At 56.3% G+C, this 21,625-nt stretch overlaps 1 long non-coding RNA gene across 1 annotated transcript, besides 8 other annotated features; it reads right to left on the bottom strand.

Annotated features, from left to right (window-relative positions):
- Window positions 1,081–1,926: an enhancer, noted in NCBI's record as "H3K4me1 hESC enhancer chr15:41217384-41218229 (GRCh37/hg19 assembly coordinates)". NCBI's record gives its function as "activates a minimal SCP1, AML or CMV promoter by ChIP-STARR-seq in primed H9 embryonic stem cells {active_cell/tissue: H9 hESC(primed)}" and the evidence as "EXISTENCE:reporter gene assay evidence [ECO:0000049][PMID:30033119]".
- Window positions 11,148–11,815: an enhancer, noted in NCBI's record as "H3K4me1 hESC enhancer chr15:41207495-41208162 (GRCh37/hg19 assembly coordinates)". NCBI's record gives its function as "activates a minimal SCP1, AML or CMV promoter by ChIP-STARR-seq in primed H9 embryonic stem cells {active_cell/tissue: H9 hESC(primed)}" and the evidence as "EXISTENCE:reporter gene assay evidence [ECO:0000049][PMID:30033119]".
- On the bottom strand, window positions 17,761–20,303 carry LOC105370943 (uncharacterized). The gene is made up of 2 exons (NR_135836.1): window positions 20,227–20,303; window positions 17,761–18,283 (listed from the first exon to the last, which is right to left on the bottom strand). It is a non-coding gene; the product is annotated as an uncharacterized LOC105370943 (long non-coding RNA).
- Window positions 19,328–19,457: an enhancer, noted in NCBI's record as "active region_9271". NCBI's record gives its function as "activates an Ori minimal core promoter by ATAC-STARR-seq in GM12878 lymphoblastoid cells {active_cell/tissue: GM12878}" and the evidence as "EXISTENCE:reporter gene assay evidence [ECO:0000049][PMID:35858748]".
- Window positions 19,668–19,727: a silencer, noted in NCBI's record as "silent region_6350". NCBI's record gives its function as "represses an Ori minimal core promoter by ATAC-STARR-seq in GM12878 lymphoblastoid cells {active_cell/tissue: GM12878}" and the evidence as "EXISTENCE:reporter gene assay evidence [ECO:0000049][PMID:35858748]".
- Window positions 20,378–20,717: a silencer, noted in NCBI's record as "silent region_6349". NCBI's record gives its function as "represses an Ori minimal core promoter by ATAC-STARR-seq in GM12878 lymphoblastoid cells {active_cell/tissue: GM12878}" and the evidence as "EXISTENCE:reporter gene assay evidence [ECO:0000049][PMID:35858748]".
- Window positions 20,378–20,941: a biological region, named in NCBI's record as "Sharpr-MPRA regulatory region 6315".
- Window positions 20,647–20,941: an enhancer, noted in NCBI's record as "tiled region #6315; K562 Activating non-DNase unmatched - State 12:CtcfO". NCBI's record gives its function as "activates a minimal TATA promoter and a strong SV40 promoter by Sharpr-MPRA in K562 cells {active_cell/tissue: K562}" and the evidence as "EXISTENCE:reporter gene assay evidence [ECO:0000049][PMID:27701403]".
- Window positions 20,647–20,941: a silencer, noted in NCBI's record as "tiled region #6315; HepG2 Repressive non-DNase unmatched - State 4:PromP". NCBI's record gives its function as "represses a minimal TATA promoter and a strong SV40 promoter by Sharpr-MPRA in HepG2 cells {active_cell/tissue: HepG2}" and the evidence as "EXISTENCE:reporter gene assay evidence [ECO:0000049][PMID:27701403]".

Genomic DNA, 21,625 nt, shown 5'->3' with positions numbered 1-21,625 from the left:
CGGAGGCGCTGTCCCAGAAGCTCATTCCCGGGCTAGGACACTGCCACCCTTGGCCCTGGGTACCTACGAGCGCTCCCACACGCTGCGGTCGAGCTTTGCCCACATTTGCTGAGCAGGAGAGGGTCATGCTGCGGGTGGGGAGCCCAGTGCGAAGGCCGCAAGTGTTTCTGTCAGCCCAAAACTGGGGCTGCGCCTTCCTTCTTCTCCCACTCGGGACTTTCGGACTTGCGGGCGGAAGAACGCTACACGCGTGGTCCTGGGATGGGAGGCCACCGATCACCGTGGGGCTGGACCCCCATCGAAGTCGGCTGCCCCCGCCCCTGACGCAGACCCTCCACAACAGCATGGAAAGGGTGCACAGATAGACCCAGAGTCCGAAAGACCACTGACCCTCCGCAGGCCCAGGGTTCCTCAATTCGACCCGCACCCTCAACACTCCCCAACGTCGGAAGCGGGCGCAGGGTCGAGGCCTGGCTTCATGAAAGGCCCACCGCCTCTGCCCCTAGAGGCCTTCTGCTTCTGCTGTCCCCCTACGCTTGGCCATTGCGCATAGTCCTCCAGCCATAAGAACCGGCACTGAGGACCGGGAAGCGCTAAGGTCGCCTTCCAGCGGTGTCCCCAAGCTGACCCCAGGTTATTGGGGCGCAACAGGAGCCTCGTAGAGCCTCGGGACTCCTCCCCCGCAGCGTAGCCTCTGTGCCCTCCCCACGGCCGCAGGCGCAGCTCCGAGACCTTCAGCGCGGTTTTGCCTCTCCTCTCCCCAACCCCCTCTCAGGGGACGGCGCTCTTCGCGGGGCACACTGCACCCGGGTAGGAGCGCGGTGGGGGCCGGGCCACCGTGCCTGCTGGGCAGACCAGGGGCGGGGAAGCAGGCCTGGCTTGGGCGGGGCGCTTAAGCCTTGAGGGGCGCCGCTGCGGTCGCTGCGGAGAAGGGGCCACGTGCAGGGAGCGGCGGCCGGGGAGCTGCACAGAAGGCGTGGAGATTTGCAAACTGTTGCTGCCACATGGCTGCTCCATTCGATCCATTCACATTGAAATGAGGCCGGCGCGTGCCTCATCTGCCGCAGGGCGCTGCCACGCGTCAGCCCGGCCCGCCGCGTGCCAACTGGGGCAGTGGGACTGGCAGAGCCTGGCAGCCGTGGGGGCGCAGCCCGGGGCCTGAGGCCAGGAGGGTGTTGGGGGAGGGAGTCGAGCTACCCTAGCCATTCAGGCGCCGCAGTTTCAAGGACCTTGGCCCTACAATTGGGAGTGAGCTGGCGAGAAAGGCCCAGGACCGACGGGTTTCAGAGGGGGGCCGGGATCGATGCCGCCGCTCCCCGCAGATGCGCCCCGGCAGGGCTACTCTCCATCTGCCGCTGCTCGCACCTGCCGGTCAATAAATCGATTTTACAATTTAATGCAGCAGCTTCCCGCCCGCCTGGGACAGATGCCGCAGCAGAACCACCTCCGCCCTCGCCCCTCCCCTCGAGGGGCGCCAGCGGTTAGGGACGGGATTCCCGCTCAGCAGGCGGTGCCCCGCGTGGCCTCCTTCACCTCTCTCTGGAGCCCCCACAAGGAACCGCCTGCTGAGGGTTTTTCCCGCGGGACAGAGTGGGTTCCCCATAGAACAGGCCTGAGACTGGAGAGAGGAGTGAGGAAGGTGATGACTTGGTGGTGGCCTTGAGAACTCATCTGGGGGCTTCAAGGGAGGAACAGGATGCAGTGACTGATGATAAGAAGGGCCCCGGTGAGAAGGAAGGGGTAGGGCATGGGCGCTGAGGGACACCGAACTCTGAAGAATCTTGGTCAGGGGGACTGAGCAGAGATGGGGAGGAGGCAGGAGGAACGAGTCTCTCCCCACCCTCCAGGTGAGTCTGGTGAATAAGCCTGACATGGACCTGCTTCTTGGCACTTCCTAACCATGTGGTCTTGGGCTTGTAACCTAACTCTAGCTCTACACTCAGTTTTCTCATCTGTGCAATGGGATAATAATAATAGGGATGGCCGGTGTGGTGGCTCATGCCTATAAGCCCAGCATTTTGGGAGGCTGAGGAGGGCAGATCACTTGAGGTCAGGAGTTCGAGACCAGCCTGGCCAACATGGTGAAACCCTGTCTCTACCAAAAAAAAATACAAAAAGTAGCCAGGCATGGTGGTGTTTGCCTGTAATCCCAGCTACTCAAGAGGCTGAGGGAGGAGAATTGCTTGAAGCTGGGAGGCGGAGTTTGCAGTGGGCAGAGATCATGCCACTGCACTCCAGCCTGGGCGACTGAATGAGACTCTGTCTCTAATAATAATAATAATAATAATAATAATAATAATAATAATAATAACCTTGGAGCCTTGGAGAGTGGCTGAGGGACTGTATCAGATTATGCATTCATGGGACCCAATAAACAGTCATTTCCTTTCCCCCAGGTGACATCCAGACAGTCAGGGGCAGACTTAGAGTGGAGGGGAGCTCCCTGACTGCAAATGAGTTCCAGAAGGAAATGAAGGAAAAAGGAGAACCGCAGACAAATGCTCATAAGGGATGAGGCATGAGGAGCAGAGGGTGGGGAAAAAAGAGAGGAAAGCTAGGTGGGGCTCGGAAGGGATCCGGACCCTGTGGAAAAAGCCAACTGTTGGAGGTCCTGTTTGTGGCAAGAGGGTGTGACAAAGTTCTTGACTGGAGGGAGAAGACTGGAGCTTTGAGAATGGGTTTGGGGAAGATATGAAGGTTTGGAGGAACTAACTGCTCACAGTCTTGGCCTTCGGAAACCAAGACGGCACTCCTGCCAGGGCCAAGTGTAGGTTTCAAATTGTAACCCCTCCTCCTTCATGGTGGCAGTTCAGAGCTGAGACCTGTGGCAGGAAAGAGGGGCATCTTCTGCCCTGGTCCTTGAAGCTCCTGGCAGATCAGCCCTCTCTGTGTCACCAAGACAGCACACTGACCGGGCTGGACCATCCACTGGCTGATGGCTCATGACTGATGACCCAAATGTGCCAAGGAAGGGATGTCCAAGTGGTTGGGACCCTTGGCAGGAGACAGAGTCCCTGCTCTTGCTTCTCACAAGACCAGGAGGGCCTCCCCTCTCCTCCTCCCATGTTCCCCAGGAGCCCGAGGGCCTAGGCTAGTTGCAGACTGTCTCCCTTGCCTTCTCAGAAGCCCCAGTGCAGGAGATGCCTGGGACTGCGGTAACTGGTATGGACTGGGCCCTCTTCTTCTGGAGGAGAACAGCTTGGGTCTGCGGAGACCATGGGCCCAAGAGAAGAGAAGCTGAGGGTTCGCCACATGAGAAGCATCTTCTAACCATGACTCATGGCCGGCAGACATTCTCTCCAGGCCTTCTGGGTGCTGGTCAGCAGGAGAGAAAGAAGAGGGGGCAGAGTGAAGACCTGCCAGCTGGAGAAGCCTAGATAGGCCTGGCTGCAAGGGCTAGAGTTACGGTGACCCGGCAGCTGCCCCAGCTTCATTTGCCAAACCCAGGGAATGCCTGGAAAGCTAGGGCCAGGAGCCACGCAGTGGGTATTTCCAGCCACGGAGCAGGCCAGGGTTTAGGGCAGCCTCCGCAGCAACTTTCCCAGAGCCCCCGGCTTCCCCTTCCCTAGCTCCTTCCTGTCCCTACCCTAGCCAGCAAGCAGGGAGGCTCAGGGGAAGGGAGGGAAGGCTCAGGGCAGCCTTGCATGAAGACCCCCGGGTGGGAGGCCTGGCCCGAGCCTGCCCTTGCCTCCCCACCTGGATCCTATAGGGCTCAGAGGCCTCTAAGAGGTCTTGTAGGGTCAGAGAATGGAGGGCACAGGGCGAAGCCTTGCTGGGAGTCACTGGGGCAAAAGAGAACTTGTGCTGAAGGACATGGTGGGGTGGGGGGCAGAGCCTGAGCTGAAAGCAGGGGTTCAGCCACCCTCTTGGACCTGCCTCCCTACCCTGAGGTTTTGCTTCCCCTGTAAAAGCTTCCTTACCTGCTCATCCTCCACCCTGGCCGTGCTCACCTCACTGTCCTCTCCTCTTGCCCCCTCTCAGGATACTGGTTGCCCATCCCTGAAACCTATTTCCTCTGTGACCTTTGCCAGCTGGGAAGCTCTCCCAGCCCCACCTTCCCCCTCAGCCTCACACCCCTCCTCTGGCTCTGGCCTTCCATTAGCATCCAGGCCCATGATTTCCCCAATCCCTTGGCGTCCCCAGGTCCTTGCGTGTCCTCTGCCTTCCCCCTACTGAGTGACAATTCATCTCCTGGAAGAAACCCTGACCTTTCCTCATTTCTCCACATAGCCTCTGATCTCTGATCCCAGCTGCCACCCAGGACTTGAAGCAAGCACGAGGCGGGGATGGGGCCACACCTCACTCTCTCCCGCTGGGGCAACCTGGGAGTGGGCTGTACTCAGATCGGCCCTGCTCCCCCGCAGACTCCCTGGAAAGAAGGGTCAATCCTGAACCAGGAAGTACTGTTTCAAATACTCTCAGACACAGAGGAAGAAACGGGGAGAGTCGGGGGACAGGTGCCAACTGTGAACAACGGCCTGAGCAGGCAGGCCACTGTTCCCTGGAGAAGGCTGGGGAGGAATCCCACTGCCATGGTCAAGTAGGTGCTGGGTCTTAAGCAGAGGATGATGACCGGCTGTCTCCTTCTCCCACCACAGTCAGAATGAGAGGAAACAGGCTTCAACTGTGGCAGGAAGGATTTAGGTTAGACGTATGGGAGAACTTCCTGTGACCGAGTGTCTATACAGTGGATCCCAGCTGTCAATCCAGGTTGAACTCTCCCCTGAACTGATGAGAATTGCACGTTGATGCTTGCTAATGAGTAACCTGCCTTGCCTGTGATTAGCAAAGAAACCCCAGGCCAGAGAATTCTCCTCGTGTCTAGACTTTCCCCAGGGAAGAAGTCCAGAGAGACCTGGAGGCACCAGGAGCTAGGCTCCCTGGGAGACCCAAGGAGTTTTCTGGACAATGTTTAGACCACTGTGAGCCAAACTCACTTTGTTTCTCCTGCCCCCACCCCTCTGGGTGCCACTCTCAGAAAATCAAGCCCAGTGGAGCTGTCCAGCCACACAAACTGCAGCAAAGGGGCAGGCTGGATTTAAGATCTGGGAGCTCATAGAGAATCTCCCAAGTGACAATGTAGTCAGGGTGTTTAGCACCAGGGGTTTCAGTAACAGCCTCCACCAACTCTGTATGTTTAGAAATAGACAGGCATCAGTCAGGCGCAGTGGCTCACGCCTGTAATCCCAGCACTTTGGGAGGCCGAGGCAGATGGATCACCTGAAGTCAGGACTTCAAGACCAGCCTGGCCAACATGGCGAAACCTCATCTCTACTAAAAACACAAAAATTAGCTGGGCGTGGTGGCAGGCGCCTGTAATCCCAGCTACTCGGGAGGCTGAGGCAGGACAATCGCTTGAACCCGGAAGGCAGAGGTTGCAGTGAGCCGAGATCAAGCCATTGCACTCTAACCTGGGTGACAAGAGCGAAACTCTGTCTCAATAACAATAAAAATAAAAATAAAAAAATAAATAGGCATCAACCAGGCATGGTGGCTCATACCTGTAATCCCAGCACTTTGGGAGGCCGAGGTGGGCAAATCATTGAGCCCAGGAGTTTGAAGACCAGCCTAGCCAACATGACAAAACCCCATGTCTACTAAAAATAATAGTTAAAAAAACTTAGCTGGGTATGGTGGTGGGCGCCTATAATCCCAGCTACTTGGGAGGCTGAGGCAGGAGAATCCCTTGAACCATTGAGGCGGAGGTTTCAGCGAGCCGAGATCGTGTCATTTCATTCTAGCCTGGGCAACAGAGCAAGACTCTGTCTCAAAAAGAAAAAAAAAGAAATAGGCATCCACACTTGGGCCCACTTGCCCCAGTCTCATGAGTCCTGCTTGGGCAGCGTGAACACTGCTATTGTTGGAGCCATTGTGGCTGCTGAGATCCCTGTGCTTCCCAGTGCTTCTCCTGCTTCCCCTCCTCTCCTCCTGTGGCTTAACCCCCACCCCCTTACTATAGTCTTTCTCCAGGTGAGGAGGAAACTGGGGAGACCTGGGACAAGTCTATCAAAACCATCACCAAGAGAAGAGAAGGCATGCAAAAGGTGCATTCTATCTGGGGCATGGCCCTATGGGCCCCATGGTTAGTGTTCCCAGGACCCCTGTGTGTGTGTGATGTGCATGTGCAGAGTTTGGGTCCATCAGCCACTCAGTTGTGGATGAGGTCTACCATGTGCCTAGCACTGGGCTCAGGTTAGTAAGGCCACACAGGAACATAAAATTCAGCCCTTGTTGCTCACAGCAGCTGGAAATTAGATAGAAGCACATGAAAAGGAGTGTGATGACCTGTGGAACCAGGCTTCAGAGAGCAACTGGGGCCCCGAGGGTCACAGGAGGCTTTGTAGGGGAGGAGGGATGACACTGGGCCTGGAAAAAGAACAGAATTTAGATAAAGAGAAGGGGGTGGGGGCACGGGCGCGGTGGCTCACACCTGTAATCCTAGCACTTTGGGAGGCCAAGGCGGGCTCATTGCCTGAGCTCAGGAGACCAGCCTGGGCAACATGGTGAAACCCCGTCTTTACTAAAACTACAAAAATTAGCAAGGCGTGGTGGCGGGCGCCTATAATCCCAGCTACTTGGGAGGCTGAGGCATGAGAATTGCTTGAACCTGGGAGGCAGAGGTTACAGTGAGCCAAGATCGTGCCATTGCACTCCAGCCTGGGTGAGAAAGCGAGACTCCATCTCAAAAAAAAAAAAAAAAAAAAAAAAGGACAAGAGAATGAAGAGAGGCAAAGGATCTGGGTGCAAATGAACCAAGTATGGCTGGGGCAGAGACTTCACCTATGGAGGGTGGACATGAAGTTACATAGCTATGGCATGGAAACCCACCAGACAGATGAATTTGGATTTGATTGATAGGTACTAGGGAGCCTGTGGGTTCTTGAGCAGAGGAGAGTGCCGTCTGCATGCTTTCTGGCAGTGGTATGCAGGGTAGTCTGGAGCAGGGAGGTACAGAAAGAAGGCCAGAGGCAGCTAGGAACATTTCTATATCTGTGGCTGGTGACCAGGTGAGCACTTATTTCTGAGTCCTGTCCCTGAGTTGGCAGCTCCTATGCATAGATGGTGGGGCACCTGAGAATGCCAGAGGCCTGATGACTGGCTGAGATAGACTCCACATTTTCCCTGAAAGCAGCTTCTCTCTCCTCTCACCCTCTGCTTTCCAGATAGTCCCCTGCAAACATGAGACTGGCATCAGGGCTTCCCGGGCAACCATACTGAAAGTGGAGGCAGCTTCAGCCATGCTGCTGGGCTGGCCAGCCCTCTCCCCTGCCTCCTTGCTCTCCTGGCCAGCCCTCTCCCCTGCCTTCTTTCCCCTTAGAAGCCCGAGGCCCTTCCTGGCAGCCCAGACTTGCCTGGAAGAGGAGAAAGGTTGGATCGGGCCTGGAAAGCAAAAAGGGAGTCCAGAGGTACCTTGGGGGAATGACTTGGGGCCCTATGTCTAGAAGCTCAGGGTGAGGTGAGCTCTGAAGGGCACTTGGACCAACACCATATTCAATAACTAATGACTCGAATACCTCTGGGGACAGGACTCTCACCCCCTCTCCAGGCTGTCCCATGCTCTTTAGATGGTTCTGGTTATAGAAAGTGCAGCCTCTTGTGGATCTGAAAGTCCTGACACATGCTTGGCACTGGGCTGATGGTTTGAGAGGGCTTTGGTCTAGGCCTTGCGGAGGGAATTCCAGAATGGCACTGCAAGAGGGAGGGTCCACTAGCCCCTTGGGCCTGGGATGGCTCTGCTGGGTCCTGTGGACAGCCTGCTTGGTCCCCTAGGCTGGGCCACGAGAACCTTCCAGCTCAAGCTGGGGGTGGAGCAGCCAGGGTGAGGCCGCCAGGTCAGCCCTTCTCACCCTCACCAGGGAGACCAGACCCAGGTCAGACTCAGGTCTCCCAGGCTGAGATCATCACCCTCCAGCCTCCGTGGCAGCTCCCACCCCTAGCTGAGTTCACTGCTCTGGCCGGCTGGGGGACATTGTTGTCTCCTGGGCCCCTCCCTGGGCTCAATGAGCTGTTTGTTGGCAACGTCCGGCGAGGGTAAGGGGAGGGTGGGCACAAGGCGCCCGCACACAATGGGGATTCCGTCCATTCTGAGGTGGCTGCGGGAACCAGGCTGGCTTTGTCCCGTGGACCCTCATTCCCACCATTTAGCAGAGCCGGAACTTCAGGCGGAAGGCCCCGTATAAGAACAACAATGTCGTCACCCTGTCTGGGGGGGAGGGTGCTGCAGGCCAGGCATACTAGGGGCCCAGGGGACTCACAGCCTGAGGCAGCGCGAGGGGCACTTGGGATAGGTCCTGGGGCGGAGGCTGTGCCCCAAATAGGAGGCAGACACAGGCAGGCAGATGAGTGCCCTCCTGCCCGGCCAGTCCATTAAGGAAGTGGGCTCCTGGCATCCCCAGCCATGCTCAGCTCCTCTGCATGCACAGAAGAGCCCTAAGGTGCAGAGGGGACCGGCGCAGCCCATGAGCCTTGCTGGGTGGTGTGCAACAGCGAGGCTAGGTTGGGGGCAGCCTGACCCTCCTGCATCCAGCCTGGGCAAAGATCTCTGCCCAACACTGGGCCCGAGCCTGTTTCTGGGCCCCTAGGCTCGCCAGCCTGCCCCTCTGGAAGTGGTGCTGGCCGCTCAGACAACAAGTGTTTATTTTCCAGTGGGGAGGCAGGACATCACAGCGTTTCCCTCCTGCCTGGTGCTGCAGCGGTTCTCACAGTCTGGGCACTGGTGACATCACCAGCCTTTCCTCCTCAGCCCTGGCCTCCTTGCCTCCCCCTCCCCACCCCATGCCCTGGCCAGGCTATGCAGCCCTGAAGCTCCTGCTTCCGGCATGGGCACTTCTGAGCGGGTACTCATAGAGGGCGTGGGAGCAGCGAACTGGACCAGCCTCTCATCCGCTCACTGCCCCCGGCATTCAGGCCAAATCTGGGGATAGCCCCTCTGTGCTTACCTCCACCAGAGCAGTTGGTGTCCCACCCAGATCACACTCTTAGTTCCATGCTGGCCCTTTAAGGGTCTTGGGAAGCCAGAACAACAGGAAATCCAAACGGCCTCATTAGGCAGCTCGGAGCTCAGCACAGTAATTAGTGCCCTGAAAACAAAACAAGGAAAAGCAGGTGGTGGTGCCCCCCCTCAATCTATTTGCCCCCCCGACCCCGCCCCAGCGTGGCCTGTTAGTACCCACAGCTAGGCAGCTGGGAGTGGGCCCCCTCCCTCATAAGCCCCCTCACTCCAAGCTCCTGAAGCTATTGCCCACTGCCCAGGCCAAGGGTTAGAGCCTAAGCTCGTAAGGAGCGGCCGCAGCTTGAGAGAAGCCCCAGGGACGTGCACTGGGCTTCCCCGCTCCGCAGCCAGGTGGCTACTGGGCCACAGCATCCTCCACCTGTTTGGAAAATACTGTGATGGCGAAAGGGCTGTGTTGGGCTCCTCTAGGGGGAAAGGGGAGACCCCTGGGAATCCTAGGGCAAGAAGCCCCCCTCAAGAGGAGAAAAAAGCCTGCTCTGCGGTCCTGCTTCTCAGGCTTTGGTGAACCTCCAGGTGGGCAAGATCACTTGAGCAGAGGGGGTGGTAACCCACAGGACCTCTAGGCAGACCCTAGGGACTTGCAAGCCCCCTCAGCTAGTAACAGCGCGGCCAAGAACCAAAAGGGATCTTAGTGAGCTCTCCTCTATGGCCAGCTTGCAGGTCCAGGTTCATTCCATCCCCTCTCTCGTCCAACATGGCTTTTTTTTTAATATATATACAGGCTCTCATTCTGTCACCCATGCTAGAGTGCAGTGGCACAATCGTAGCTCACTGTAGCCTCCACCTCCCAGGCTTAGGTGATCTTCCCACCTCAGCCTCCCAGGTAGCTGGGACTACAGGTGCCCACCACCACACCCAGCTAATTTTTTGTATTTTTAGTAGAGATGGGGTTTTGCCATGTTGCTCAGGTTGGTCTCGAACTCCCAGGCTCACGCAATCTGCCTCCCTCGGCATTCCAAAGTGCTGGGATTACAGGTGTGAGCCACCGCGCCTGGGCTTCTCCAACATTTGATGCAATTGAAACTCATTCTGTCCCTGACCCCTAAGATGTCTCCCTCTATCTGTAATGCCAGGGAAGGGACATTCTATGCTCTACTTAAGTAACAAATATTCACTTAACATATTTCACTTAACAATATTCCCTCCGCCATGGCAGTGGGGAGTTCCTGGAGAGGTTGCGGGGAATATAAACGGTACTACCTTGTGGTAGCCCATTACTGTAAGCACTGCCCTTCCCTCTGCCTTGAAAAGGCCTTGGAGAGCAGGAACTATGACTTTCTCTCTCTGCATATCCCCCCACAGACCCAGTGCTTAGTAGGTGACTGGTACATGCTTGTAACCAATCAAAAATGAACCAGAAATCACCTCTCTGACTTCAAGGATTTTACCGTGTCAGCCCACAATTCAGCAAGCAACAGCGTCAGCACCCTGTCAGGGTCCCCCGTGCTTGGGGAAGGTCCCAGCTTCTGTGTTCAGAGCCCAGGCCTCCCTCTGCACCTCCCCAAGGGCCTTGTGCAGAGCAAGGGCTGAGGGCACTGTGAGGGAAGGAGTACCAGGTCCTCCTGAGAACAAAGCTGGCATGACCCTGGGATGTGGGGAGGAGCTGCGCCGGGCTGGCCTAGCTACAGGCTGAGTGAGGACGGTGGCCAGCCTATGGCCACTGAGTGGGACTGTAATTAAACTGCGGGTAGGTTTCTGGTCACACTCCTGTTGGCCGAGAACAAAGGCCCCAGCATCACTGCCCAGGGGGAAAGAGAAGGAGCAGAAGGAGGGAGCGGGGGTAACCCAGAACCTGCTATTGGGTTGGGCAACTGGCCTCCAGCTGGGTCAGGGAACTCTGTGGGCACCTCGGGCAGCCACCGGCTAGGTGGGCATCTCTGAGGGGCTCCAATCTGAAATGGAGGGGCCAGTTCTGCTGGCAGAGGTGGAGGGGGCCAGCCAGAAAGTGACTGAAGGGTTACAGGGCCATGGAGCAGGAGTTCTCCGCCCGCCCTGGCCATGCACAAGGATCACCTGAGCAGCTCCTGTGGGCACCCTGATAGAACTGTTCTGAGATGAGGCCTTGGAGGCACTGGTATTTTCCAAAAGCTCCCCAGTGACGCAGTGTGCAGCCAGGGTTGAGGGATACTGCTATCTGGAAGCACAGGGCCTCCTGTTCCTCCTCCTGTCCCTTCGCTGAGGCCCACAGTGCTCAGAGGCCACGCCCACTGGACCCAACAGCCCAGTGTCCCGGCACCCACGACTAGGCAGCTGGGATTGGAGCCCCTCCATCATAAGCCCCCCCAGTGCAAGCTCCTGGAGCCGCTGCCCACTGCCACAGTCTCCTGGTAGAGGTGGAGGGGACCAGAGTCTCTGGGCCTTTGGAGAGGTCCTCCTCTTCTTGACCCCCCTCCCTTAGTGGAAAGTTCCTCAGGGAAGCAGCTGTGGGCAGATAAGGCAAGATGCCCCAGGGGCAGGGGGCGGGGGTTGCCTATGGGGCACCCGTGGCCTCATCCACCACCTCCGAAGGGACCCTACTGTCTCACTCTCCAGGCCCCCAGGCCTGGGGTAGCACCTGGGAGAGCAGGCAGGGGACTGGGAGGGAAAAAAGGTAGACCCGGAGCACCTGAGCCAATGGGGCCTGGCCCCAGGCAGGGACGTGCTCTGGTCCTGAATCATTTCCCGGATATAGCTCAACAGCCCAGACTTCAAGGTTTTGGGGGGAAATCTTTTTTCCAAGTTCCTCGATCTGTCATCCCCTTCCCCCCTGGCCGGATAGGACTGGACCAGAGTCCTCTCTCAGCTCCCCCTCAGCCTCCCAGCTTGGGCCGTCTCCACTGATCTCTCCACTGGACATTGTTTCCCGCCTCAGGAAGTCTCTGATGCCCTGCGCTAGATTTTGTTTTCCTTGTTATCGGGACAACTAATATTTTTTCCTGTGCAGAAAAAAAAAAAAAAAGAGATTTTCCCAAGCAGATTACAGCTGTCAGTGATGGGGGGAGGGGGCTGGAGGTTGAGCCCTTCCCCCTCCCCCACTGCCACCCTCAGAGGGCCGAGCTTTTGAATGAAGGAGGAAGCCCTGGACCCAGATCCAGCCAGGCGAGCTGGAGCCAGGGGCAACTCTGGCCTTGGCAGGAAAGTCAGGCCTCTCTCCTCTACCGTCAGGGACCCTGCTCCTGCGAAGATTGTTATCCACGGGCCCACATGTCCAAGGATAGGGAGAGGGTCCTGGGCTTGCCTTCTCTCTAGTGGGGCAGGAAGGGCAGGCTGCCCCCCAGCTGCAGGAGAGAGGTCCCATGGCCCTTGGGAACTGATTCTTCCCAGGCCAGAATTCTGAACGGTCAAGCAGCCCTGTGGGACCAGGATGGCAGAACATGAGTAAAGACACCTAGGAAGGGTGGGAGCACACGCGAGACCCAGCTCCACTAGATGGTGTGACTTTGGGCAATTCCCCAAACCTCTCTGTGCCGTGGGCGCCCCCTGCCCGCCACCATGGACAAATTGATGCCTGCCTCACCTACCTAAACAGCCATGTGGTGAGGATGTAGACGAGAGAAAGATTCTAATTCAATGTCAGGGGTTCTTATGACTCCGTCAGAAGGGTTAATGCAGGTGTCTCAGTACCTATGTGACACAAGTGGGGCCTCCAAGACGAGCAGACCAGAAAGCAGAGGCCATCACCGGGCAGGTTCTGTTAGAATGACACACTCTGGGCCAGCACGTGCATGCACACATACACATGTGCACACACACACTCTCTCTCACACACACTCTCACACACACACACAGTCACACTCAGTCACACACAGTCACACACTCACAGTCGCACACACACTCACACAGTCACACACACTCACAGTCACACACACACACTCACGCAGTCACACACAGTCGTACACTCACACACAGTCACACTCACACAGTCGCGCACACACACACACAGTCACACACAGTCACACACACACAGTCGCACACACAGTCGCACACTCACAGTCACACACACACGCACACACACTCACACACACACACACAGGCTGGGTGTTCTTCCTCGATAAACTCTCACTTTCTACGTTGGGTGCTGCGGTCCTAGGATGGGACAGGCTGCCTGGGCCTTTGGGGTAGGAACTGGCAGCACAACCACCACAGCAACAGGGCCTTGCCTAAGATGACCAAGTTTCTTTTCAAGTTAACAACAACAAATAGAACGGCTTCAGATGTGGGTTACTCGATTGTGGTTGGCAATGGATTAAGAAAATCATTTGCCCCCTCAGGCCCTGGATCCTCTTGTAGGGTGATGGTCTGCTCCGAGAGGCTCTCCTGCCTTCCTCTATCTACACAGTGGGCTCCACAGTGGCCTATATGGGGCCAGTGAGGCATTTGTTGGGGGGATGGGAGGAAATATGATTTCTATTTTGATTTATTTTTTAATTAAAAAACAATTTGGGAGGCTGAGGCAGGTGGAACACCTGAGTTCAGAAGTTTGAGACCAGCCTGCCCAGCCTGGCCAACATGGTGAAACCCAGTCTCTACTAAAAATACAAAAAATTAGCTGGGTGTGGTGGCGGGCGCCTGTAATCTCAGCTACTCGGGAGGCTGAGGCAGGAGAAACGCTTGAACCTGGGAGGCGGAGGTTGCAGTGAGCTGAGACTGCCCCACTGCACTCCAGCCTGGGCAACAAGAGCAAAATTCCATCTCCAAAAAATATATAAATAAATAAAATATTTAATAATAAATAATGTTTTAAAATAAATAATATTTAATATGTGTTTTGACTGTAGTGTATAATCTATGCATAAATATTCACAATCAAAAAAGTTTGGGAGGCCAGACACAGTGGCTCGCGCCTGTAATCTCAGCAATTTGGGAGGCCAAGGCAGGAGAATCTCTTGAGGCCCCAAGTTCAAGACCAGCCTGGGCAACATAGTGAGACCCCCATCTGTTTAAAAAAAAAAAAAAAGTCTGGAGACCACCATCCTGGAAGATCAGTGAGGGCTTTACATCCTATTGGAAGCCAGTTTCAGGCTGGGTGCTGGGGTAGGGGAAGGGAGTGTGGAGGAGGGGCTGGTGCGCTCCAGGTACAGGACCACGCAGCAGTCTGGATATTCCTGGCCACCACTGGTCCCCACGGCCTCCTTCTCCCTGTTCCCCCTTTAGGCCTGCGTAAGTCTCAGGGGTTCTAGGACCCTAGCTGCCAAGCTCCCTGCAAGGGAGAGAGTGGTCCTGGGTGACCGACACACTCCCCTGCCCCTCAGGCTGGCTGATGTGTGGCTCAGTGAGGCTAGGGTCCTTGTAGCTGCCCTGCATTCCATGTCATCCCCAGGAGAAAAGTCCCTGGCGGGAGGCGGCCCTCTGCCGGGAGGCTGTTTCCTCAAGCAGCCAAGGTAAGAAGTGGGGGATTTCCAGCCCAACCCGTGGGGCTGACTTCAGTACTGGGGGCTCCTCTCCTTTCTCATGCAGCCAGGCTGGGGTGAGCACACAAACGCTGGAGTTAGACCTGGTTGTGGGCAAGAGCATGTGGGGGCAGTGGAGTTAGCTAGGCCTGAAAGCCTGCAGCTGCCACGCCCTGCTCAAGAGAACCCCAGGGCTGTACCTGCAACCAACAGAGACCCAGCCCTGGAAGACCCCAACAGGCATCTCAGGGAGGGGACAGGGGTCTGGAAATCCAGCACCATACTTACTCATGGGCTTGTGGGGAATGACTCAAATTGATGAATGCCCCTGCTTAACCCCAGGTTCTGCCCCAGGGCTGCTGGGCGGGCCTGGTGGTAAGCGAAATGGCAGGTCTAAATCTCATCTCACAAGGCAGCATTAATTAGCCAGCACTTCCAAGGATGCTGGAGAGTCAAGGGAGCCAAGTTGGACCCATCAGGAGCTGGGAGCCAGAAGCCCCACATCCCAGACCATCTTGCCCTGAAAGCTTGGCCCACAGGAAAGGGGAGCTATCCCATACAGCATTCCCTCTATCCCTGCACTGCGCTCCGCTGGGCAGGGAGGGTGGGTGCAATCCTGGAGGCCAAATGGAGGAAGAGGGAGGAAGCCATAGTGCCCTGGTGATGGTGGCACACATGGACGTCCCAGCTCAGGCCTGTGGAAGGGCTTAGGAAACAGACTTTTCCTCTGCTCTTATTGAGTCTCCTGTGCCTCAGATACGCTTGTGAATTTTCATTTCATTACCCAGCTCATATGTTTGCTGAGTACACATGTATGTGCAGGCCTGTGTGATTGAGACATGCCAGGTCAAGGAACAGGCAGGAATTTATGCAAGGTTGCTGAGCAGAAGGAGAGGACCTGAAAAGTGAAATAATAGTCCAGCCACCACCATTGTAGGCTAGCAATGTGTCAAGACCTGAGCCAGGGGTTTTACATGCATTATTACCAATCTGCCCAGCAGCCAACCCTCTGAGGGAGGTATTATTATCTCCATTTTATAAATCGATAAATTGAATGAAGCTTAGAGAAGTTAAGTGACCAGCCTGAGGTCATGCGGTGAGCAAATCTAGGCCAGGATTTGAACCCGGTCAGTCTAAGGCCAAGCCAGAGATGTCTCCACCCAACTCTCTTGGTGTGGTCCTCCTCCATTACGCCCCATCTGTTCCTTGTCTCTGAGGCCCTGGCTGCCCTGGTCTGAGGTAACAGTTCCCTCCCCTCCTCCTCTCCCCTCCCGGCCAGGCAAGGTGGAAACACAGAGTTTGTTTGAGGCCTTGTGGAGCCCGAGAAGCAGTGAGCAGACCTTCACACCAGTCCAGGCCGGGTTCAAAGAGGGTCTGGCTGGCCCTGGGTGTGGGGGGGATCAGCTAGGGCTGAGCTGGGGCAGCTGTTTACAGTAAACAGAAAGCTCTTGAGGAAGGAAGGAGGGGAGGGGCTGGGGTCGTCATGGAGACAGGGACGAGCAGACAGGCCTCAGCCTTGATCCACAATGACTGGTAACGCATCCTTGCCTTCCAGAGCAGAGGAGGCCCAGGGAAGGTTGGGACAAGTCAGCCGGAGCAGGAGAGGCAGGGGCAGACAGGTCTGGCCCGGGGCAGACTCGCTAAGAACACACTCCCACCTCTTTGTGCCTTTCTACTTATTATTAACAATCACAACGCCTGCTTCTTGAGTTCTCACAGTACGTCTGGTGCGAGGCCCTTGAGAATATGTTTTCTTATTTAATCCCAACAATAGCCAGGTGGTAGGTACGATAATAGTCTCTAATTTATAGATGAGGAAATTGAGGTTCAGAAAGGTTAAGCAATTTGTCAAGGTCAAACAGCTTGTAAGTGACATAGCAGAAATTCCAGATCAAAAACTCTTTCCACCAAGGCGGGTAGGAGATGAGCTAGCTGGTGAAACTCTGAGCCCCTCAGATGGTGGGGAAACTGAGTCCCTTAGGTGTTAAGGGGACTTTCCCAGGCTTCTGGTGTTAGTCAAAGAGATTGCCGGGAACAGAACCCATCTGTTCTAGCCCTAACCACTAGACCACACGGCTTCTCCATGGCTTCAGCTGGGAAGGTCCAAAGAGAAACTCCCTTTCTAGCCCCAGTGTGGAGTGTAGACTCTTCCCCAGCTAACACGGTTATCCCTGCGGAGGCCAGGCTGGGCCAGGGTGCAGTGGGGGATGCTGGGGGGTTTCTGCCCACACATATGGTTTCCAGATTCCAGGGGATGAAAAGGAGGCCCTTAGGGGCGGAAATGGGGGATGTGTGATGACAAATTTAGACTGATTGCTTAAAAAAAAAAAAAGAAGCCAAGAAACCCTATAAAATAAAAGCAGAAATTCCACTAGAAAACCAGAGGGAGTTATTTGATTGTGAAACTGAGTGCCACGAGGCGTGCATAGTTTAATGTGGAACAATATCTAGGGTTCTTCCAACTTTGACTGTTCAGAGGATGCCGGGGAGGGAAGGAGGCTCTGTCTGCTGTTCCTGCTTCACCTGCTGGGGCCTGGGACAGGGAGCTAGTCGGGAAGGACACCTGGGAGGATGTCTGGAGTCGGGGCACTTGCAAGCGTCCTGCCGGCTGTGGCCAAGGATCCACACTGGCTCACATGGAGAGCGGCCCAGTGGAGGCTCCAGCTGGTCCGCACTGAGAGCATGGGGAAGGATGAGCTGGAAGCTGGGGGTTTGGGGTATCTCTGAGTTCCAGCCTTAGAGGGAAAGACCAGGAACAAAAGGTAAAAGAGAGAACATCTGCCTGGTATTCTGGTCGGCAGCAGGCCCAAGGGGTCAAAGGTCAAGGGGAGGACAAGGGGGACTTCCTGAAGCTCCCGGGAGAGTGCCAGCCAGGCCGACTGTTGTGCAAGTTCTGGGCTGGCCTGCGAGGGCAGGCTGGCAGAGGAGTCATGCCTGATCAGCGGCCAGCATGGTGTCTGCCCAGCCCTCTTGGCCTGTCCTATGAGACTCCTGGAGCTGGAGTAGTGCCCTGTCTCCTTTCCTTCAGGGAACCAGGACCCCCATCCCAAGGAAGCACTCTTGTCCCACCTGTGGCCATATTCTACATGCCTGTGGGCTTCCTCTCATTCTCATCCTGAACCTCTTTTCCTTAGAATCGCCATTGTTCAAGAAACCAGAAAAACCTACTCAAGCAAGCTTCTTTCTTCCAATTCCACTCTGATATCTGAAGAAGTCAGAGGGCCTTGTGAGGGATGAGCTGGGACAGGTCTCAGGGTCCTACGCCTACAGAAAGGAGGTGCAGAGTAAAAGGGAAGAGGGGCAAGTGCCCAGGGCTGCTTGGGCGCCAGGCCCTGGGCTACCTTGACAGATGGGCGGCACCGCTCTCATTTCAGCCTCACAAGAGCCTTTCCAGGTCTGTAACAGTTATTCACATTTTACAGGAGAAGAAATTGAGTTTCCAAGGGCTTGATTAGCCTGATGCTGGTAATGGCAGAGCAGAGACTTGCACTTGCTCTTTACAGATTATGTCCTTGTTCCTCGGTTCAACCCATTTTGGCTGGAGATGGAAAATGAGTATAAAGAAGGACCTAGGATGGTGCCCTGCTCACGACCAGCATGGGAACACAGTTAATCAAGGCTGAATCTCACGGACAGGGGCAGGATCCAGGATGGAGCCTCCTGTTAGCTACCAATTTGTCTTCTGCAATTCAGCAGCTGTAAAGTCAGGAGGTGGGATCAGCAGCACAATGTCTTTCAAACTCGGTTCCTGGGCATCCTGGCATCTTATGGATATCGTGATAGGGGGCCGGGCACAGTGGCTCATGCCTGTAATCCGGACACCCTAGGAGGCTGAGGTGGGAGGACTGCTTGAAGTCAGGAGTTCAAGACCAGCCTTGGCAACCTAGCAAGACCCCCGTCACTACAAAAAATAGAAATAAAAATTAGCCAGGTGTGGTGTCTGTAGTCCTTGCTACTCAGGAGCCTGGGGTGGGAGGATCACTTGAGATCAGGAATTAAAGGCTGCAGTGAGCTATGATGGCGCCACTGCACTCCAGCCTAGGCAATAGAACAAGGTGTTGTTTCTATTAAAAAAAAAAAAAAAAAACAGAGAGAGAGACATTGAGATAGGAGTGGAGAACAGGCTGAGTGAACAGGAGTGTGGGTCCCTCCAGCCCAGTTTCCATCGGAGAATCTCAGCATACCAATTTCAAGTACTGGACATTCATGAATGTTTTTATTTGAACAAGGCTTCCACAGCACTTTATAGTCTCTATCTGAGGTCTCTGCAGCTCTGGCCTGCTGGGAGTTGTGAACGGTTTAGGTCCTGGCCTGGGAAGAGAAACCAGAGGACCTGGTAAAGGAAGTAGGGTTCACCTTCTAGCCCTGTGGAGATGCCGCGAGGGAACAGGTCAAGGGTCAGAGCTGGGAGATCATGCCATGGAGGGAAGGTGAGCTGCAGCCACCTGCCTCTGCACCTGGCAAACACAAACAGACCTTTGGCCACAGCAGCCTGGGAACCAGAAGCAGCAGCCACCTTCCGGGGGGCCAGACCAGTGCCCCTTTCCCTTTTCTCTGCCCAAGCTTATTCTCAGTGGACATGGGTTGCTGGCCACCAAACTAAGGCCGCGCAGCCTCTCCTGACCTCACGGTATGGTTTCTGACTGCTCAGTAAGGGCTGGTTCAAGGTGAAAGCTGAGCCACGGTAAAGCTGCTCAGGGAGAGGAAAGCACCCAATTACTGGGCATTCAGAGAGTGGGGCCAATCCCCTTGAAATGACAACCCTATTTTGTGACCCTTTTATTGGCCATCCTGGACCAAAGTTTGCCCCTCTGCCTCAGTTTTCCTTTTGGGAATCCAGGCATGAGAATGGTGGCCCTCTCCTGGTGGCTTCAGCACGTATGGCTCCCTGAATATCATCTCCATGCTCCAGGTGGAGGAGAAAGCTGAGGGCTCCAGCTGCCCAAGCACCAGAACTTTCTAGCATCCTCCTATCCCAGTGCCCGCCCCAGGCCTGCCTCTGACCACCATTCACCCTCAACCTGCTGCAGGGCCCAGCCTCACCCCACATAAGCAAAGCTGCCAGCAGCGTCCTTTGTGGTGCTGCTCCCGTGTGGCACTGCCTAGGGGCCCCACCATGGGGCAACAGATGGACCTATGGTCTCTCCAGAACAATGGTGGGGGAGGGGCCCTGGCATCGCCCGCCCCAAACAGGAAGCGCTGCATGAGCTTCAAAGGGCTGGCAGGGCCAAGGGGCTGAGTGGGGGAGCCAGTGCCAGGACTGGCGGCTGCCTGAAGAGATGCCTGCCAGCCTCGGGATGCCCAGCCTGGTGGTGGAGGTGGGGCTGTGGTGGCCAGGGCAGCTGGCTCTTGAGCAGAAGATGTCTGGCACCCTGAGGACAGCAGCCTGTAACCTGGGAGCAGGTTAAGGAAAGAGGGCATGGAGTTTGCTGTTTCCCGGTTCAACTGCCACTCGCCAGCGGGGCTGCAGGTTCTTTCCCAGGCCGCGGTTGGCCTGGCCCTCCGGCAAGTAAGCATGAGGGGCAGGGCTGGCACCAAGCCCGCCGCCCACTCCCTGCCTCCTGCTCCCAGCTGCTCCGCTCAGAGCCTTTTCCTCTCCACTTCCTGTTCACACAGGGGGGGGCGGGAAGTGGAGGGAGGAAGTTGGGGGGAGGCGTGTAGGGGGGACCCATTGAATAAAAGGAATTAACCGTTTCCCTCCTCTGACCTCTGGGAATTTCCGCCTGTGAAAGTGTCTCGAAGAATCAGTAGGGCTGGGGGAGTGGAGGGGAACTGCGCCCCCTCTTGGTCCCCTTCCCCCACCCGGTGGCGGTGGGGCCAGATAACTCCCTCTGGGCCCCTAACCTTTGTTTCCCTGGCGCCAGGGGGCAGCGCCAAGTGCGGCCTGGAGCCTGATGGCCTCGAGCCCCCTCCCAACCTTTGGGGTGGGTGCCAGGCACCAGCCTGCGACCCGAGCCTTTGGGGGAGGGGCAGGAACTAGAACTGGTGGTCTCGGGGGAATGAGCTCACATCCGAGCTGGCCACGCTGAGCCCTGTGCCCTCTCCAGGGCTGGTGCCCTTGGCCAGTCGGCCGCGGTGACAGGAGAAGGGAGGGAGAGGCCGGGCAGGCAGGGCCTGGGACTCTGGGCCGGCACACCCTCCGGCGGCCACACCCCCAGGAGCCAGGGTAGGGAGCGGTGGGCTCGGGAAGCCGGTAGACGGCGCCCCCTAGTGCCCACTGCAGACTCGGCGGGGCGGCCCCCAGGGCCCTCTCCAGGGCGGGCCTCAGGAAGCACCTGCTCCCCAGGACCAGTGGCCGCCCTGCGTCTCCCCCAGGTGGCTTCCTTGTTTACAGGCCTCCTGCCCTGGTCCCAGCGTCACTGCCTGTGGCCACTCCTTCTATTTCCAGTGACCGCTCCAGGAGTAGCTCATTCATCTTGGCCCCTGCCCACGCAGCTGCTCCCCCACCCCACCCCCCTCTGGCCCTCCAGGCTTAGGGCCAAAGCCCTGAGGGCCTCCGCTCTGCTCTCCATTCCATGTCTTGCTTGGCTTCCAGGGATCTAAGAGCTGTGGCTTCCCGTTGCCCTGACTCACCGGAACCCTATTCTGTCCCTGCCAGGGAAGCCTGGGGCCTTTTCCCAGGAAAGAGGAAGCAGCCTAGGACCAGATGGGCTGGCTTAGGAGAAGACAGAAGGGGCAGGGGTGTCCCAAGCTGCTTTAGCCAAGCCCTCTGGGAGCAGGGAGCAATAGGGCAGTGTTTGTTTAACTAACAAGTATTAGGCACCCATTATGTGCAAAGACAGAGGCCCCAGTCTGTTTTCTCTAAGAAAGTGACCCCTTCAGAGGTAGGCTAAAGCTTTATACTCACTGTCAGGGGACAAAGACCCTGAGCCCTCAGATGACTATGGTAGGTGTAAGGGGAGCCTAGGCCACATGGGGAGAAGGAAGCAGGAGCCCTCCAAACCTCCTGGGACAGTGCGAAGAACAGAATTAGGATGCCCTCTACTCAATGGGACCCCTCCCCCACATCTGCTCCCACTTCTGCTTCTGGAGGAAGACGGGAGTCTGAGGGGTCATCAAAAATGGGCAGCTTCCAGCCCTCTCAGCTAACAGAGTCCATGAAGAGATCCTCTTGTTTTAGTGGTTAGGGAATTCTGCAGCAAAGTTCAACCTGTATTGCCAGAGATAAAATTCTTTAAAAAAAAAAGGCGGAGGGGTTCTAGCTGGGCACAGTGGCTCATGCCTGTAATCCTAGCACTTTGGG

The sequence above is a fragment of the Homo sapiens genome, chromosome 15, assembly GCF_000001405.40.
Source record: "Homo sapiens chromosome 15, GRCh38.p14 Primary Assembly".
Lineage (NCBI taxonomy): Eukaryota > Metazoa > Chordata > Mammalia > Primates > Hominidae > Homo > Homo sapiens.
Note: the sequence above shows the minus strand (reverse complement) of the source record. Positions and strands in the feature narration are given on the sequence as shown.